The sequence below is a fragment of the Homo sapiens genome, chromosome 9 (assembly GCF_000001405.40).
Source record: "Homo sapiens chromosome 9, GRCh38.p14 Primary Assembly".
Classification (NCBI taxonomy): domain Eukaryota; kingdom Metazoa; phylum Chordata; class Mammalia; order Primates; family Hominidae; genus Homo; species Homo sapiens.
The window spans coordinates 95,282,205-95,303,035 of record NC_000009.12 but is presented as its reverse complement, the minus strand read 5'-3'; the positions used below and the strand labels follow the sequence as shown (position 1 = coordinate 95,303,035).

General features: G+C 39.0%; 1 protein-coding gene and 1 pseudogene across 17 annotated transcripts in view; one reads left to right on the top strand and one right to left on the bottom strand.

Moving 5' to 3' along the window:
- The window catches only part of FANCC (FA complementation group C), a 218,656-nt gene that overhangs the window by 14,674 nt on the left and 183,151 nt on the right, over positions 1-20,831 (top strand). For 2 of the 17 annotated variants that reach the window (XM_047422952.1, XM_047422948.1), the window contains exon 1: positions 10,032-10,319. The exons of the other annotated variants lie outside the window; for them this stretch is intronic. The gene's annotated coding sequence lies outside the window, so the exon portion shown is untranslated. Of the gene's footprint in view, positions 1-10,031; positions 10,320-20,831 lie in introns of those variants that run through there. 17 annotated transcript variants of the gene reach the window in all.
- ATMINP1 (ATMIN pseudogene 1) lies at positions 8,029-10,727 on the bottom strand (annotated as a pseudogene).

The window sequence follows — 20,831 nt, the reverse complement described above, 5'->3', positions numbered from 1 at the left end:
TTTTTTTCTTGTCCAGTGGGTCTGAACTTTTTTAGGTTCAAGACATACTTAGGAATACTAGAATTTGTAGTGGACATCTTCAAGGTTTTAAAACAACACTAAGAAGTAAACAGCCATTATAGTGCAAACTCTGCCAAAGTGTCATATGCATACTGAGTCTATAACTGCGTCTGCAGTGATCATGCTATTCATTTGGCCATGCTTCTGCAGTATGGCCCTTAGAAGAGCTGTTTTTTACCCCTACTGGGCTTTCTGATATGTTTGTAGGACAGAGAATTGCAGGAAGCAGGCCTTCATATCTGAGCCGTGCTGCTCTGGTTTGCTGTGCTGAATGTTGCTGTGCTCTCCCGGAAGAGGTAGGCACAAGTGCTTTAGAAGGAACTGTCAGAACCCCACTGCTCTACTGAGCACTGGTGAGTCTGAGGATTCACAGGCTAAAGGCAGGTCACTGAAAGCGGCCTACATTCTGGAATTTCTCGGAACAGATTATTTCCTGAGATGACAAAAAGTATAATTTTGGTCAGAAGGATCACTGAATTTCCTGGAATCTACCCCACCAGGCTGTGTCTTCATAGGTGGGAACTGTTCTCAAGAATCCTCAAAACAGCCCTTTGAGGTAGGTTCTGTTTCACTCCCAAAGAGAAGCGAGGTTGGCACTCAGAAATTTCACATCATTTGCCCTGGCTCACTGAATGAACTAGTGAATAGTGACGCCGGGTTCAGACCTTTCCGTTTTTCTTTAAAACTTGTGTTTCTTTCTACCAGAATGCAACTAGGGTTGGCCAGTGACCCCTTCTGTCCACCACGTGGGAGCAGCTCTCCTAAAGCTGGGCTCTGCATTAAAGGGATTGTTTACAAATTCATTAAATTAAACATGTTTAATTCAGGGTAAAAACTGAATGATTTAGAAGATCTTTTTTCTTTTGTTTTTTTCTTTGTTTTTTTTTTTTTTTTGAGATGGAGTCTCACTCTGTCTCCCAGGCTGGAGTGCAGTGGCGCCATCTCTGCTCACTGCAAACTCCGCCTCCCGGGTTCCTGCCATTCTCCTGCCTCAGCCTCCCGAGTAGCTGGGAGTACAGGCGCCCGCCACCGCGCCTGGCTAATTTTTTTTTTTTTTTTTTTAGTGGAGATGGGGTTTCACCGTGTTAGCCAGGATGGTCTGGATCTCCTGACCTCGTGATTCACCTGCCTCGGCCTCCCAAAATGCTGGGATTACAGGCGTGAGCCACCGCGCCAGGCCTTTTTTCTTTTATTTTAAAGAACTGTTGTTATTTTTATTTCAATTAAATTGAAAAACACAGGGAAAAAATGCAACAACAACAAATCCCAGGCAGGGCATGGCAACTCACGCCTGTAATCCCAGCACTTTGGATCACTTGAGTCCAGGAGTTTGAGACCAGCCTGGGCAACATAGTGAGACCTCAGCTCTAGAAAAAAAGAATTAGCTGGGCATGGTGGTGCATGCCTGTGGTCCCAGCTACTAGGGAGGCTGAGGTGGGAGGATCGCTTGGAGGAGGTTGAGGCTGCAGTGAGCCTAAATCAGTCATGCCACTGCACTCCAGCCTGGGCGACAGAACAAGACCTTGTCTAAAAAAAACCCAGAACCAAAAAAAACAAAAAACCCCAACAAATCCCTCATAGCACCAGCACTTATTTTTGAAGACTTCCTGTACTTACACATATAAATATTTTGTACAAAAATGTTATGATATTATAAATATTTTTCTGCAGCTTCCTTATTTGACTTAAGAATTTATGATGAACATCTTTCTGAGTCAGTCAGGAATATTCTTCATGCACTGTTAACTCCTCTGTTACTTTAACAATTTTGTGTGTGTGTGTGTGTGTGTGTGTGTGTGTTTTGATGGTTATTGTTATACTGACTTTAGCCACTTTTCATCATTTTAGCCTTTAGGTCTCTTTTTTTCTTTGTGTGGTCTTAACCGAGAAATAATTGCAAGCGAGGAACAAAGTCTTAAATTTGGTGGCACTCACCACCAAATAATTGCAGATGTTTGCCTTCCTTCTACATAGAAAGAGCCCACTCTCATGCTGTATTTGTTCTTCTCATCCTCCCCTGTCTTATTTCTCTTTCATTTCGTTTAATTTTAACCTCAATACCAGACTTATTTTGTGCAGCCCTTGGCCTGCTGCGGAGTTATCTTTGCCACTGGCTCTCTTTCCAGCCCCCAGTCGCTGATGTGTCTCTTGGCAGCTAGTGTAAATGATGGTGGTCCTCTCATTCTGACGTGGGAGCACCCCAAGTCAGCAGTAATATTTGGTGTAACAAGTACCAGGGTGGGATAACCACATATCCCTGGACTGGGATTTTAAAATTGTCAGTTGTCCTGTCATTTGTGGTTTAGGGATCAACTTGAGCAAGAGAAACTCCGTCTCTACTAAAAATACAAAAAAAAATTAGCCAGGCGTGGTGGCAGTTGCCTGTAATCCCAGCTACTCAGGAGGCTGAGGCAAGAGAATTGCTTGAACCCAGGAGTCGGAGGCTGCATTGAGCCGAGATCGTGCCACTGCACTCCAGCCTGGGCGACAGAGCGAGACTGTCTGAAAAAAAAAAAAAAGAAATTGTATTTATTTCCTACAGACTTCTTTTTCTTGGTTATCACCTGACATTGCCTTATCAGGTATTTTATTATGTATTTTATTCCTTTTTATTATTTTTGGCTTAAATTTTCCTTTTAGTCTTTTACTTGGATCATTCTTTCTTATTTTCTCCTCCATATTTTGGATTCTTCAGACTTCTTCCCTTTTCTTAATCTTACCATTACCAGATTTCCCTTCTGCTTAAATTTCATGATCCAGTTTTTCAGTGGATGGAGATAGAAGGCTGAGGTGAGGAAGGTGGGGGTAAATACGATACTTGCTGAATTTCAAATATAAAACAAGATATTAAGGAACTTATTTCCTTTTTTATTCCCTATATTTGGGAGACCATAGAATTGGCTGGCCGCTAATATCAAGTGGCTTTTGTGTGTAGACCCTTACAAAGAAATGACTGATAAAGTCCCTACTTCTGGGAGTTCTGATAGTAAAAAGTGTGACATCCATGACACATACATTGCCAGTCAATGATGGATAGAAATGGACAGACTTTGAGGAGATGAGTTTTGAGTATACAGAGATACCATTTTGTGTGTGTGTGTGTGCGCATGCATTTGAGACAGGGTCTCACTCTGTCTCCCTGCCTGGAGTGCAGTGATGCGGACATGGCTCACTATGGCCTCGACCTCCCAGGCTTAAACAATTCTCCCACCTCAGCCTCCCGTGTAGCTGGAACCACAGGCATGCGCCACCATGTCTGGCTAATTTTTTGATGTTTTGTAGAGCTGAGGTCTCACTATATTGCCCAGGCTGGTCTCGAACTCCTGGACTCAAGCGATCCTCCTTCCTCAGCCTCCCAAAGTGCTGGAATTACAGGTGTGAGCCACTGCAGGGCCGCAGAGATACAGTATATTTGTGATACCATTAGTAACTTTTATTTGACAGAGGGTTAAGTATTGACTAAGGGATAAAACCTATTCTGGGGCTTAGAAAACAAGGTTTTGCTCCAAGAAGGCGGTTAGATGTGGATAACGGTTTCAGTACTGAATTTGGAACCTTTTTACTAAAATGTAGTCTACATGTGGGTATCTAGCAATAGAGTCACTGTTAGTAAAGAACTATATATGTGACATACAGAGGAACCACATACAGTTTCTTAAAATAATATGTTCTTCATCTTTGAGGAAATCCTAGACAAAGCTGGAAAAATTTCAAGTTTTCTTATTGCTCATTACAAATTATAGGGATTTTGATATTGTGCAGTTAAAAGTTCAGTAGATTTTCAAAACTAGTTATTAATTGACCTCGGTTCTGCACATTTTTGTTGCTTTGCAAGAGTACCCTTAAGGCTCAAATAAAGTTAAAAGTAAGGTAAATGGTGTGTTAGACTAAAACTGTATTTTTTGTCTGTCAACACTTAAATAGAAAAACAAACTAGCTTAAGAACATGACTGCAATTTAGGATCTTAAAACCATATATACCGTAGTATTTTTAAAGCCTGCAACCAAAAAGTAGAATCATTGTGTTTTATAGCACTTTGAAATTCTGTCTGATGTTACTGTATGTCTGTGCTGTCCTGATATGGCTTTTGGATTGCGTTTGTGGTACAAGATTGATTTCTTGTATTTGTATATTACTTGGCTGCACAGATGGTATCCGCTTCAAATCTACTAAATAAAACTAGAACAATGATTTTGCCAGTTGGTTTTGACTGCTTTTATTTATTTTGGATGGCTGTAGTCTTTGTGAAGATGGCAGACTAAACCTGGAAGTGACAGCTAAGAACAGAATGGGTGGGCTACAGGTCTGCTAATTGATCTCAGCAGAACTCATGCTACTTCTCCCTGGGTACAAGACGTTTTCTTCAATTGAATGTTCACAGGCCAGCTGAGCCATCCTTTGCTCCCATATCTCTATTGTCCTTGGCCCAGACCTTTTCTCATCCTCCCTGGGTTATCTCATCCATTTCCATAGCTTTAGTTACTGTCTCTCTGTTGATGTTTCTACATCTATGTCTTCAGCTCAGGCCTGTTTCCTAACCTCTTCCTCACATACCCACTGCCTATTGGACCTCTTCATTTAGATGCCCCAGGTCTCTTGTACTCACCATGCCCTAAGCTGAGCCTATCTTTTTATCCAAGTATGTTCCTACTCCTTTGTTGCCCCTTTCAGTGTATGGTGGCATAACACATCTAGTTCTCTAATCAGAAACCTAAGCAACATCTTTACCTCCTCTCTATTCCTTTTTTTTACTATGTCTGATCTAAATACTAAATACTATGTGTTCTCCCTGATAAGCATCTCTTATCTGGGTGCTTTTCTCTATTCCTTCATGTGACTAGACTAGGCCTCAGTTACTGTAAGATGGTCTTCCATCTTACAGTATGATCTTGTCTCCCCTGGTGGTCCATTTTCTATATTGCTTGTGTGATTTTTCTGAAACAGAAATCTGAGTATATCACTTTAATGCTAAAAATCCTCCAGTGACTTACCTTTGCTCTTAGAATAAAGTCCAGAGTCCTTACTCTGTTTTGTAAAGTCCTTTTAAATCCATCTACTACTTGCTTGAGCAGGGTGACAGTCTTGGTAAAATGTACTTTTATAGCCAGAAGTCCCCCTCACACTTAACATATCATGATGCTTTCCTTTCTTGTGAGAAGCGAGAAATTTTATTGTGACATTTTGTCCATTAGTAAACCACACTCAGATCTGTGTGCCCCTCTTCCAAAAAATACATTATACATATTTCTACAAAGAGAGAAAACATGTAATAGTTGTCAGGTTCTTTTGAGAAATCCTTTTGTAGAAGTTATGCTTGGTGTTGTTTTAATGTTTTTATTACAAAGTAGAGAGCCTGTCTGATGAATCTTACACAAATAAAGTAATGGAGGTAATTAGATAACACCACAGCCTTTCCTTTCTCTCCAGAAGAGGTAACAAGAGTCAGCATTCATTTGGAAGCAGTTGCCCAGACATGCCAACAGAAGTTGTGGGCATCTGTATCTCCTTCTAAGAAAGCGGGTTTCCTGAAAACCTTGGGAAAGGAAGGAAGAGAGGGACGGAGAGAGGGAGGGAAGATGCTATGTAGGTGGGCCAGTCACCAGCAGAGGGATAAAAAATGGTGAGATCAAAATATAAAAGCACGAGTAGTGTATTCCTTTGGCTGGCCTCTATCTCTAGATGCCCTAAAATGTTTATCTCCATTATTATAAGTCAGTGTAGATGCCTAGAGAAAGGAGGCATCCCTGATTTGGGCAGGATTCTAAACAATTGCCTTTTGTATTGTTAGTCTACACTTTGCTGAAAGTCCCTCTTGCCTCAGTCTGCTGTTCCCCTGGTGAGCCCCCACATATGGTTCAGTTCTCAGTGTCAGGTCTCTTTTTCTGGAAACTTTCCTCAACACCCCAAATCTGGGTTAAGTGCTCCACTTAGTCTGCTGTACTATGTAACACTTCTCACTCTGCAGTTTTAGTTTGTATTTTAAGTTCAGTGACTATGACTAATGTTATTGTTTGAAATGAAAGAGATTTTAAGAGTTTCTTCAAGAGGATTGACCAGAGTCCTGAGACATTTCTCCATTCCTAAATATATAAAAGCCATGAGTTGCCTTTGAACTTCATTACAATTTTGAAAATTTTTAGACATATCAAAGGTATTCTGTAGATGAGAGCTAGCCCGCTTCAATCCAGTTGTGACTATCTTGAGTGTGAATGTCAGTGTTCATGTTTGATGTTCTTTATTTTGGTGTATACTCTAGGTGTAAAGCCAGCCCAATATTGTCCCAACACATGACTGTGTTTGTTTGGCTAACTGAATACACCTTACCTGCCTTTTCTCCACTTTCTGTCTTCATATCGAAATCCATACACTTGAAATATTCTAATCCATTAGATATATGTAATTTCCTCATTTATGCTTTACTGAAACCCTGTTGGAAAATTCAAATTAATTACCCTTAGATTAAAAAAAAAAGCCTAACAAAGCTCTGTGGATTTGGTATGGGAACATATCAATAAATTTTTTAAAATAAAAACCACATAATTATTTTTAAAGACAACATTTATTTTCAGATCTGTTGAGTTTTTCCACCTATTTCTTCAAAGTTTTCCTTGTCATCCAAAGACATGACATTTGAGGATCTGTCTCTTTACTACTTTTCTATTTTTCAGGCAATGAAACCTCTTGTTACATTTAATTAGTGTGTCTAGGTCATGATCCTTAGTCATTTTAAATTGGAGTGTGATAGAGAGGTTTTAATATATTGTGCAGTAGATCCTTGATATTTTCAGATGTAAAAGGTTTGTTTTGATTTTTAAAATCACTTTATTGAGATATGATTGATATATAAAAAGTTGTACATATTTAATCTATAGAACTCAATGAGTTTGTGGATAAGTATATACCCATGAAGTTATCACCACCATCAAAACTGTAAACATACCCATCACCTCCCAAAGTTCCCCCTGCCTGTTTTGTTATTATTTTTTTGTGTATGGTAAGAACACTTAATATAAGCTCTACTCTTTTAGTACATTTTTACTATACAGCATAATATTGTTAGCCATGGGCACTATGCAATATAGTAGATCTCCAAAATTTACTTCTCTTTTAGGACTGAAACTTTGTACCTTTAACTATCACCTCTCAATTTCCCCTCCTGCCAGCCCCTGGCAACAGCCATTGTACTCTTTTTTTTTTTTTTTTTAATTGATACAGGGTCTCACTGTGTTGCCCAGGCTGGAATGAGTGGCGTGATCATAGCTCACTGTAGCCTCAACCTCCGGGGCTCAAGAGATCCTCCTGCTGTAGCCTCCTAAGTAGCCAGGACTACAGGCATGCGCCATCCTGCCTGGCTAATTTTTTATTTTGTACAGATGGGGTTTTGCTCTGTTGCCTAGGCTGGTCTCAAACTCTGGCCTCAGATGATCCTCTCTTATTGTGGTTTTGATGTGTATTTCCCTGATGATTACTGATGTTGAGCATTGTTTCAAATAACTGCTAGCCATTTGTTTGTCTTCTTTGAAGAAAAGTTGGTTCAGGTCCCTTTGACCATTTAAAAGATCAGGTTTTTTTGTTTTGCTTTGTTTTGTTTTGCTTTGTTTTGTTTTGTTTTGTTTTTTGTTTTGTTTTGGTATTGAGCTGTTTGAGTTCCTTATATAATATATTCTGGATATTAACACCTTCTCAGATGCATAGTTTGCAAATATTTTCTCCCATTCTGTAGGTTGTCTCTTCACGCTGTTATTTTCTTTGCTGTGAAGACATTTTTAGTTTGATGGATTTTTAGTTTGATGTAATTCCATTTGTCTGTTTTTGCTTTTATTGCTTTTGTGGTCTTATCCAAAAAATCTTTGCCCAGAAGACCAGTATTATGAAGCATTTTCTCTATGTTTTCTTCTAGTAGTTTCATAATTTCAGGTATTACATTTAGCCCATTTTGTGTTGATTTTTCTTTTTTTTTAGATCAACATCTCAAACTTTATAATACACTCACATTTATACACAAATTTCTGTTTACAAGTACAAAAGGCAAAGAACTGCAAAGAAGCTAAGCAACTGCATCATCAGCCACATTCAATCGAATTAATACTGTTGTCCCCCGTCCGTAGTTTTAATCCAGAGGAAATGGTAGATGCCGTCTCACACATGGACTCCACTGTTAGTTTTAGAAGTTGGAGACTGTGTGTGGTTCCGCAGAAGTCTGGGTTTCTACAGAGCTGAACTGAGACTCCATCATGTTCCAGGCCATATCAGCCAGAAGAAAGTCGTCCATTGTTGTTTGAGTTTCGTTGTTGGTGAAGAACAAGCTCCCCAGGGTTTCAAACCCAGAACTCATGGTCTGTGTTTCTATACTGTTCAACTGAACTTTGCTTTCTAGAGCAGGTATATCTTTAACAGTGGAGATTCCTTCAGTTTGTGTCTCTGTGTCAGATGAATCAGTACTCATGGAAAAGCTGGAGTGTTTCAGAATACTTCCCAGAGGCAGATGAGGGCTACTGTCTAAGAAAAAGTTTAAGTCTGTCTGTGTTTGTCTGTCAAACATCTCAAGGCCTAAGAAGTTAGAATTTCCCCTACACCCATAGGACTGAGCAGAGGTATCTGCGAGTAAGAAGTCCGTTTGAGTCTCTGTGTCCAGTGACTCCAAGACTGGCTCAGTGTTCATGGTGCTAAGTTCACTCTCTTCAGTTTGAGTCTGGATATGTGAGGCCGAAAAGAACTCTTCAATATCAAAATTGATTCCAGGGTTCTGGGCTGGGCCAGATGGGAGCTGGGTGTCAGGTCCAGGATTTGTGTTAGACAAAAGACTATGATGATCCAATGTCTGAGCAGGCAGATTACTTGACAAGATGTTTTCCAAATCACTTAATAAATCTATGGTTTGGGTCTGATTATCTGTCATGTTCTGTGAAGGAAGCATACTGTTCTGTGCACTGAAGTTTATAATTGGTGCACATTTCTCAATCTCTTGATTTAAAGTCTTAGGCTCATTCTGAGGTAACAAACTATGAGTTACTATCTCTGCTACTAAACTGTTGCTTATAATGTTACTTGTAGCAACATTATATGATGAATGAACACTCAAAAATGTCTCTGCACATTCCAGCTTGGTCCATCTGTACATGGTCATCCGTTGGACTTTGTATCCCACTGGTTTGAGTTTCTCAGGAGACCCCACCCGACTGGAAACAGGTGTCCATAAATGCATCAGTCTGAGCAGCTATAGATGAAGTTACCTTAGAGCTGGGCAAAAATGTCTGAGTGTGAACACTAATGGGAAGAGACACTTGAGAATCAAACAACAAATCAGTTTGAGAACAAGACGACACAGAGGAATCAGCGGTGGCCCACTGTGCAGAAGGTATAAAGTTTTGTGAGGCATAAGACAGATCTGTCTGCACGTTGATTGAAGAAATGCCGTTCTTCTGACATGTGTTCCCTAGTTCTTGTAAAGTATTAGATGGACTTTTACCCAAGTTCACTTGAACACCAGTACTTATTGGCTCAACAGCAACAGGATCAGCAATTTAGAAAAGAAGTAGGCTCTCTTTAAGAGAGCAAGCCTCTGAATCTAGGCCGAGGATCAGGGTTCCTACTGACAAGGGCAGGCAGTAAGTGCACAGCCCCTGTGGCAGAGCCCTGATCAACACCTAACACCACAGGCTGGGCTGAGGAGTCGGCTGTAGGCACAAAGACAGGCATGAGAGAAAACTGCATCACGGGTAGTTTAAGCAAAGCCACTTTGGGCTTTGGTAAAAGCAACTTTTGAGGCTATCTCGGTGATGTTGTAAGAAAGAGTCTGCTTGTCAGTGTTAGAGCCACAAGAGTCTTCAAAAGATGGTTCTAGCTTTATTTCTGAAGCTTCTAGTTCTTGGGTGTCTGGTCTAGGGATTGGTTGGTTGTTAAATGATTCAGTGGTCTTGTTGGATAACTTCTGGTTTTGCACAGTTTTCCATTTTCCTTTTCTTACTAGGTGGGTCCCTGTGTTCTGCAGGGATCTCGTGGCCAGTTCGGTAGATGTGAGACTGCAATGCTTTTCTACTGGCGTAGGGACAGCCGCATGTGCACCGGAAGGTCTTGCCACAGTCCTCTGCAAGTCTTTTCAGGTCCCATTCTGTACCGTACGAATTGCTGCACTTGCTACATTTGTGCTTCTTCTCAGCATGGATTTTCATAAAGTGCTGTTTTACGAGAGAAAACTGAGAAAATGGTCTGTCAGGGCCTCTGGGGCAGCCTTCGATTGGACAACAGTAGAATTTCGGTACAGTTTTCAAATCTTTTCTTATTATTGGATTGACTGTGCTATACTGCATGCGGTGGCTCTTGACCAGGTGCATGTTGAGCGCGGGGCTGTTGGGCAGGATCTTGCGGCAGCCGCGCACGGTGCACAGGATGTTGGGCCATGTGGTCTGGGACAGCTCGCTCACCTACTGCTGGATCAGCTCCCCCGCCAGCACGGAGGCCGCGGGCTGCTGCGTCACCCCCGCGGGCCGCGGCCGGCTGCCCCTCAGTCGGGGTCCCGGGGGCACCCACGGGCCCGAGGCGGCGGCGGAGGCTCCTCTCGTGGCCGCCGGGACGGCGCGGGCACCCGCCGCCAGAGCCGTGGACCCCGCCGCCGCCACCGCCTCCGAGGCCGCCATGGCTCCCGCAGGGCGGCCAGGCCCAGCTCGCAGTTGTGTTGATTTTTCTAAGTGGTGAGAGATAGGGTCTACCTCCGTTTTTCTGCATGTGGATATCCAGTTTTCCTGAACACCATTCATTGAAGAGACTGTCCTTTCCCCAGTGTGTGTTCTTGGCGCCTTTGTCAAAAATCAGTTGACTGTAAGTGTGTTCTCTTTTCTGTTCCATTTGTCTGTGTGTTTTTATGTCAGTACTCTACTGTTTTGCTTACTATAGCTTTGTAGTATATTTTGAAGTCAGGTAAGATTGATGCCTCTAGCTTTGTTTTTTTGACGCAAGATTGCTTTGGCTCTTTGGGGTCTTAATATATATATATATATATATATATATTTTTTTTTTTTTTTTTTTTTGAGACAGAGTCTCACTCTCTCACCTAGGCTGGAGTGGAGTGGCGCGATCTTGGCTCACTGCATCCTCCACCTCCTGGGTTCAAGAGATCCTCCTGCCTCAGCCTCCCGAGTAACCGGGACTACAGGTGCCTGCCACTATCCTCAGCTAATTTTTGTATTTTTAGTAGAGATGGGGTTTCGCCATGTTGGCCAGGGTGGTCTCGCACTCCTGACCTCAGGTGATCCACCTGCCTCGGCCTCCCAAAGTGCTGGGATTACAGGCATGAGTCACTGTGCCCAGCCTCCATACAAATTTTAACGGACTTTTAAAAGATACGAATTCTTCCAATCTGTGAACATGGGGTATCTTCCCATTTTTTGTGTGTCTTCAATTTTTTTCAATATTTTATAGTTTTCATTGTAGAGATCTTTCACATCCTTGGTTAAATTTATACCTAAGTATTTTATTTCTTTTTTTTTGGCAGGTATTGTAAATGGGATTGCTTTCTTGATTTATTTTTCAGATAGTTTGCTATTAATATTTGGTGTATAGAAACACTAATGATTTTTGTTTGTTGATTTTATATCCTGCAACTTGACTGAATTCATTTATTAGTTCTAATAGTTTTTTTTTAGTGGAATTTGTAGGGTTTTCTATGTACTGTGTCATCTGTAAACATAGACAGTTTAACTTCCTCCTTTCCAGTTTGGATGCCCTTTCTTTCTTTCTCTTACCTAATTGCTCTGGGTAGGATTTCCAGTGCTGTGTTGGATAGAAGTGGTAAGAGTGGACCTCGTTGTATTGTTCCTGATTTTAGAGAAAATGCTTTTAACTTTTCCCCAGTCGGTATGGTTAGTTGTGGGTCTGTCACAGATGGCCTTGTGTTGATGTACATTCCTTCTATACCTAATTTGTTGACAGTTTTTTTTATCATGAAAGATGTCGAATTTTGTCAAATGCTCTTTCTGCATCTATTGAGATGATCATATGATTTTTATTCTTGGTTCTGTTAATGTGGTATATCATCTTCATAGATTGGCGTATGTTGAATCATCCTTACAACCCAGGGGTAAATTTCATTTGATCATGATATGTGATCTTTTTTTATGTGTTGTTGAATTCTGTTTGCTAGTGTTGTGTTGAGTGAGGACTTCTGCATCTAAGTTTATCAGGGATATTGGCTTATGATTTTCTTTTTGTGTCTTTGCCTCCTATTCTTAGCAGTGTTCCCTTGAAAGCAATTTGTCTTTTTATAATCTCTGTCTGCTTTTAGGACTTCCTCTTTGCCTTTAGTTTCTGCAGTTTTACTGTGTATTTTACTTCAGAGGAGTGTGTTTTGTCCCATTTTCCAGAGGTCTTGTTGGACTGAGCTCTGGTTACCTACCCACTCTGGTAGTTGGCTTAATAACCCTCCTTTCATTGGCTGTGATTCCCTGTGTCACTTCTCTACTTTCTTAATGGTGTTCCCTTTATTGTCCAAATAAACTACTCTACTCAAATCCCTTTTTCAAGATCTCCTTCTTGGGAGTAATAGGGCTTCTTCGATCTGAGGATTAATGTTCGTGTTGATCACAATGGAATAGTGATATTGCTGACAGAAAGATATCATTGGTTATACTTGGAAGATCCTCAGTTTCCCTAATGGCAAAAGACTTGGGAATCTGTGGATCAAGATGGAGCATATATGATCCCAGACAGAAGTATTGTTTCTCAGGTCCCCCAGAGTTCCCCAAAGGATGGATTTGCATGGCAAGAGAAGCTCCCTTATCACTTCTAATGGGGTTTTATATGGTTTTGGTCAATTACCCTTCCACTGCTTGAACATTACTCTTCTGGAACCCAGTGACATGTGTGCCTACTCAGGAGGTAGAATTAACTGATTCACAACAATTGCCAAACGTTTTTTAGAGTTTACTGCAAGGTTGGATGACATGAAGACCAATTTTCTGGAATCAGTCTTTCAGAAGATGTAAGCCTCAGGCATGTCTGATTTCTATTCTAAAACGTGTGGCTGGGCACAATGGATCATGTCTGTAATCCCAGCACTTTGGGAGGCTGAGGCAGGAGGATCACTTGAGCCCAGGAGTTTGAGACCAGCCTGGGCAACATAGCAAGACCCTGTCTCCACAAAAAATAAAAATAATATCAGATTAGTCAGGCATGGTGGCATGTGCCTATAGTCTCAGCCATTTGGGAGGCTGAGGTAGGAGGATCCTTTGAGCCTTGGAGGTCAAGGCTGTAGTGAGCCATGATAGCACCACTGTACTCCAGCCTGGGTGACAGAGCAAGACCCTGTCTCAGTCAGTCAATAAAATATCATACAGTTATGGTTAAAAACTAAAACAAATTTTTAAAAATTTGAATGAACAATAGAGAATGTATTAATATGCTTTGAATTTATATTAATTTTGTGGAGAAGAATCATTTAGAATTTTAGCTCAATCATAAGCCTGTAGATGATGACACATGAAATTATTATCCCCCCGTGAAATACAAGTGTGAAAGATGACTACCTTTTTGTGGTATGATTTCTATATACTATACTCACGCGCACTTCAAGGTTCAGTTGTGTGGTTTTTCAGTTCTTACTCCAGCCACTGGTTGTGCAAATACTCCGTGATTGTGTAAAAATCATACCTGTTAATTTATATATACTGTTACTGGCAGGAGACAGACAGATAGTGCTATTTATTAGAATTATATGTGCTTCTGAGCATTAGTTACCTAATCAGGTATTTTAAAAGTTCAGAAAAAAATTTTTAAGTCTGAACCTTATGTAGTAACTCTGAAAAACTATAGAAAACAGAGTAATAAAATATAAAAGTAGTAGATTGAAATGATACTCTTCTTATTATCATTATTTCTAGAGACAGGGTCTTGCTCTTTTGTCTAGGCTGGAGTGCAGTGGCATGATCCGTAGCTCATTGCAGCCTCAAACTCATGGGCTCAAGCAGCCCTCCCTCCTCAGCCTCCCAAGCAGCTAGGACTACTGGTGTGTGTCACCACACCTGGCTAATTTTTGTTTGTCTGTTTTTTTGTGAAGATGGGGTCTCACTGTTAACTGAGCTGGTCTCAGAACTCCTGGGCTAAAGTGATCCTCCCATCTCAGCCTCCCTAAGTACTAGGGTTACACGCTTGCACTACCAAGCCTGGTCTGAAATGAGACTCTTAAAGGAAACAGGAAACAGTGAACAAAGAGAAGAGTCATTGGAAATTAAAAAAAAAAAAAAGTGAAATGCCCTATGTGTGATCAAATAGAAGCACTGGATTCAGATTATCAACAAACTAATCAAGATGGAAGAGCATAGGAAATTTCCCCTGGCAAGAGCTTGGTAACCAAGACGTCAGGGGCCAGAGTGAAACATGCTGAATGCATGAGCCAAGTGCTGGGACTCAGTTGACCTATAAGAACAAATAAAAAGAAATCCATGTAAATCCATATAAAACACAAAACCATGGACACTTGTATTAAAGTATGGCTTGTCAATAGAATTTGCATCAGTGCATGCTAAGGTTAAGTCACAGTCAAAGCCTATTCAAAGAATAGCCTAGCGGTTTTCAAGTAGCTGGGCAGGTAAAGAAAATCCCTTGACATATATAACTCTTAAGATCTGCTGTAACAAATAGTTATTATACTAGCCAAACCAAGTTTAATTTTCTCCTATATATGGTCTTGGTAAAGGCATCATGTTATATAGAACAAACATGATCGACTTGGATAATGAAATTGTAAATAAAATCCTGCTTTACAAATTATTATTGCTGAAACAGCCTGTGTTTTAGAGAAAGCAAGAATGTTTTTAGATAAAAGAAATAATTATTCCACTTATTAATATTAAAATTAAATTATAGCATTTTATTTTAATGTCAGAAGTACTTGTTCTGTACAGAGATTATGAAGAACTGGGATCATGAATCTGTTGCTGATAAATAAAATTTCAGAGGTCTTGGGATAAATTATGAATTCAGTTTGGGAGAACAGGGGTTCCTTATCAGCTAGAAAAACTGATTTTACTACCATATGGCAGTGGTAAAAAAAAGTCCATACCAAATTCCTTATCTTGGATATGTATCTTGAATTTTTATGCAACAGAACAGAAATACAGTTTTGTTCAGGAAAAAAAATTGCAGAAATACTACTCTGTGCAGCTCCTGTCTAGAACATGCCTGCCTTTTTGTTGTACACAAGAAAGAGAATTTTCTAGTTTAATTCCTTGAAGAGCAATTTGAATGGTTTCCACTTGGGAAATTATGTAATTTCATATTAAATAGCAGGTGGTAAGGTAGTCAGATGGAAATGTTCAGTTCATCCAGCATCATCAGATTGATTTGACAAATGGAATTCTTTTAACTCTATGGAAAGCATTTTTCTCCCTTTATCCTTTGGCAGAGGCAGACATTGTCTGTGGTTTCCCCACAAAAGTTTGAGTGGGTAAACTTTGGATGTGTAAATATAAACAGCAGACAGAGACATTGCCTCTGACAGCTGGAAGGATCCACTGAGGATCTTAGAAGGAGACTGCTGATATGGATGATGTTGGATAGAGAGACTTGAGGGAGGAATTAACCAATGTGAACATAAATGAGGAATGCACATGCTTAGAAAAAATGATAGTTCCTCCTTAAGTTTAGGTTGAGGTTGTTGAAAATTTTTGCTTTTGATATGGATAAAAACAACAAAAAACTGACTTTTATGGATAAAAACAACAAAAAACAATAAAAAACTGACATACCATGTGGATGAGCACATGGTATGTTTCTTGGTGAGTGGCTCCATCTCGTACATGATATGTAACCTTGGGCAAGATATTTGGGCAAGATATTTACTTCTCTTTTCCTTAGTTTCCACACCTGTATAGTGGGATTGTAGGGACTGAGATAAGTTTACGGTGCTTATAATTGTCCTTGGCATAGAATAAGCACCATGTAAGTGATAGCTGCTATAAAATAATAATAATTATTATTTTGGTGGATTGAGAAATTCCCTTAAGGAGGAAGCTATTTGCTTCCTCTAATAACCTTAGTATAGTTGATGTATTTATATATAAATGAGATACAGAATTCAGGAGCAAATTATTTAGTGTTTAAGATGATTTATAAAGATATGTTCATATTACCTTTTAAAAATTAAATTGTGAAGAATACTGCAGGTGCCCGCCACCATGCCTCACTAAACTCTGAGCCTTTGCACGTGCCAGGAAAGTGCTGTGGCTGGACACTGGGTCTGATGATGCTCCCCTTTTCTTTGCTTGAACAGTAATCAGCCCTCGAGACTCTTCTGGTTTGTGAAATCTTTGTGCCCCCACGTTATGTGTGTGTGCTGCCATTAGATCAATTTCACATTATTATTGGAATTTTTGTTTGCATATCTGCTACCCCACTCAGTTGTGTGTTTTCCAGTCTACTATAAAATGTTTCAAAGATTAAAAATTACATCTTTTCATTAGCCACAGTGCCTGCTGCATAGTAGGTGTTTTTAGGTAAATGATTGAATGATAAATAAATCATACCGGTCATGACAGTATTCAAAAGAAAACAGTTCTTCTCTTGTTTTTCCTGTAAGGAGCAAGGAAATCTTTCCTGGAAGCCCCTACACCAGACATCTCCACGTATTGGCCTAGGATACAGTCACTGACAAGGGAATGGAATTTCCCTAGTTGGCTTGGAAAAGGCAGTTTGTGTTTAACCACAAAGATCACTGCACTGGTTACAAAAATAATACATGATTATTATAGGAAATTTATAAATTAATGAAAAGTACAATAAAATAATCTGGCATTACACAAAGAAAACTGTTGTTAACATTGTGGTGTTTGCTTTCCAGTTTTTGGTTGTATATGTATATGTTTGTGTGTATAGAAGAAAATTGCAATCATATTGTATATAGCTTTTTATAGTCTTACATTTAAGTCTAACATAAGCAGTTTTCCGTACCATTAAGTCATATTTTTCTGAAATTAGACTAATGGCTTAAGTTCCTTCATATGGCTGTATTACAAATTATATAATTCATTGCTTATTGTTGGAGATATAGATTGTTAGCAGTTTTTTACTATTGTAAATAAATATGCAGTGAACATCCTTTTATATCAATCATGTACATCTCTGGTTATTTCCTTACACTAAATTCCTAGAAGTGGATTAATGAGTGAAAGGGTATAAACACATTCAAAGTTTTTTGATATACTTCTCTGATTATCTTTCAGAAAACTTGGACCAATTACATTACCAGAAACCTGCATATGAGTGGCTGTTTAACTGTATTCTTGCCAGTACTGGGAATTTTTTTTTTTCAAGACAGGATCTTGCCCTGTTGCCCAGGCTGGAGTGCAGTGGTATAATCATAGCTCACTGCAGCCTCAGCTTCCTGGGCTCAAGCAATCTGTGAAGTATTTTTTAATCACTGATTTTATAGTCAAAAGTGGTTTCACTCTGCTTTTTTGACTTGTAGTGTTATTTTTCATTTAGTCAGCATTTAGTAGATGTTTGTTGAAAGAAGAAATCCGTGTTTCTTGATATGTATATTGTTTATTCACATCTATTATTGGCATTATTATTTTTGCTTTTTTATTGTGATATACAAAAAGTACATAAGCTGTACTAATGTTAAGTGTAAAACTCCATATAATTTATGGCATTCTATTTTCAGTTTGCTGTTTTGGATATTAGTTTGTTTAGTTTATAGTATTATAATAATTTATAATATTATCTCAGCCAAGTCTGTTGGGTGAGATTTATTCCATCATAGTTATATTCTCCCTAGGGCTCCTAATTACATAGAGACTTCATTTTTGGTTCTGACTGAGAAATAAATTATTTCTTTCTCAATTCCTTTATATTATTTATTACATGTCTATGGTTTTTTTGCACAATCCTTCTCTTTGGCAACATACCGTTTTATTTATCTTCATGTTCTTCTAGATATCAAAATCTTTTTTTTTCAGTATTTAGAAGAACCATTAAATTATTTCCTTTTTATGCTTTCTCCCTTATTCCTTGGCTCAGATTTATTTTTTCTGTGTGTGTGCGTGTCTCTCTCTGTGCGTGTGCGCATGCGTATGTTTGTGTGTGTGTGTGTGTGTGTGTGTGTATGTGTGTGTGTGTGTGAGAGAGAGGAGTCTTAGAGTTCAAGTAAATGATACTTTCCTGTGTTATTTATTAACAGTTACAACTGCTGTTGTTAATATTTATCTCATTTAATCTTTTTTTGTCTGGTAAGACTGGTACATATCATTGTGTTTTTCATTTAGAGGGAAGTGAAATATTTTGGGCCATACTGTTAATAGTGCTGTGTGGATCAGAGCTGAGATTAGAACCCAGTATGCTAGTGATATGTTTGGATTTCAAGTTATAAACTGTACTGGGTTTAGTCTTGCACATAAAAAGAGGCTGAACTGAAGTTTCCAAGATGTTGAGAAATTTACAGTTTATTTAAATTTGAGTCTTGCTCTCAAGTACACTCTTTTCCCAGTTATTTGCAGCTAGAAAAGCAAAAGTCTTCAAGTATAATTTAATATGACCAATAGGAACCACATGACTTTTACAGTCATTTTGTTGCGTACTAGTGTTTATACAACTCATGACTTGACAGCCGACCAAACTGTCTTATCCATCTCATATTAACATATTGTGAATGTAGTAGGAACTGGCTTAGCAAAATCTTGAAACCTCTGACTCTAATATTTGTGGGATAGTAAAGTAAACAACTTTGGGGCTTTCAGGCTGTGTGATGCACAGCCCGTTCAGGACATTAATGCTTATTCTCTCTGTTGACTCCATTGCTTTTGTGAACAGTTTTGCCGACAGGTGTTTAGGCTTGCCAAGAGAGATTATTTCTAGCTAGTAGAGGACTCTTGGAGAAAGACATTGGTTTCTACTTAGAAATACAATAACTAATGATAATAACTGACATTGAATGGGTGTTAAAATGTGCCAGGCACAATTCTAAGTGCTTTCTGTGTAATTAATGTATTTTATTATTCACAGCAACCCTACTAGGTTTTTCCCATTTTACAGATACAGAAACGGAGGCATAGACTGGCAAAATAACTTCCCAAGGTCACATAGCTAGTATGTTATAGAGTAGGGATTCAAACTTCGGCAGTCTGCCTCCAAGTCAGCCTTCTTAATCACTCTGTTATGCTGACATTTATTAGATGAAAAGAAAGAGGCACAGGTGAGTCATAAGTGGCTGTTTGTGTTTTTGGAAAATATTTGACTTTATGCCTACTGGCAGCTTGAAATAATTAAGCTGCTACCATTCATTAAATTTTTATTTTTTTGTAAAGTGAGTTATTTGCTTGCATGTAATATTATAATTGGAACATAGTGAGTAAAGTATACCCTTTTATGTTTGTACAAATTTAGGGTAAGCCTGTATTTTCATTAAAAAAGTGGTCTTTGAGAAAGAAAGTGTTTGAAACAAAACTTTGAAGAGTGGGTTCAGAATCAGGGTGACAGCCACAGAGTAGTAAGTTATTTGGTCAATGCTCTGTAATAAATAGCAGAGACTGCCTTATTGGTCCTGTGCGCCATCTTGAAGAGCTGAATGTTGCAGAAATGGCAGGCTAAATGTTTTGGAGTAACCCAAGCTGACTCTAGGCAGAATTTGTCTTTGGCATCTTCTCATTTTGCCTGTCACTGGCACCTGTCTCATTCACCTTTTGTCATTGCCAGATATGGTATGGTGCCTAACAACCTTTACTAACTATCAACAAGTCCAGCTGGGTGTGGTGACATGCACCTGTAGTCCCAGCCCCTGGGGAGGCTGAGGAGGAGGATCCCTTGAGCCCACGAGTTTGAGGCTGTAGTGAGCTATGATTGTGCCACTGCACACCAGTCTGGGCAACAGAGGAAGAGCCATCTGTTCAAAACAAAACAACAACAAAACAAGTTTCTCATAAAATATTAATTAATGTTTAATAAAAGGGATATCCTTTCTCAGGGTATTTGCATTTAATAGATCATTCTCAAAGTTTGGGCTTTGGGTTATTTTTGAGAGTTGGCATTTATTGCTATAAACTTCCCTCTTAGAATTGTTTTTGCTCTATCCCATAGGATTTGGTATGTTATGTTTCCGTTTTCATTTGTCTCAGGATATTTTTAAATTTCTCTTTAAATTTATTCATTAACTCATTGTTTAGGAGCATGTTGTTTAATTTCTATGTATTTGTAAAGTTTTCAAGGTTTCCCCTTTTATTGATGTCTAGTTTTATACCATTGTGGTCAGAAAAGATACTTGACAAGATTTTGATACTCTTAAATTTAAAAGACTTATTTTGTGGCCTAACATATGATTTATACTGGAAAATGATTGATGTGCAGTTGAGAAGAATGTGTATTCTGTACCTGTTGGATAGAATGTTCTGTAAATGTTTGTTAGGTCCATTTGGTCTAGGGTACAGTTCATATCTGATGTTTCTTTGTTGACTTTCTGTCTAAATGATCTGTCCATTGCTGAAAATAGGGTGTTAAACTCTTCTACTAGTATTGTGTTACAATCTATCTGTTTCTTGAGATCTATTAATATTGGCTTTATGTATTTAGGTGCTCTGACATTGGGTGCATATACATTTACCCAACATCAGAGCACCTAAATATGTAACATATCCTTTTGCTGAATTGACCAACCCCATTATCATATATTAATATAATGACCTTCTTTGTCTCTATTTACAGATGACTTAAAGTCTATTTTATCTGATATAAGTATAGCCACTCCTGTTTTGGTTTCCATTTGTGTGAAGTATCTTTTTCCATTTAT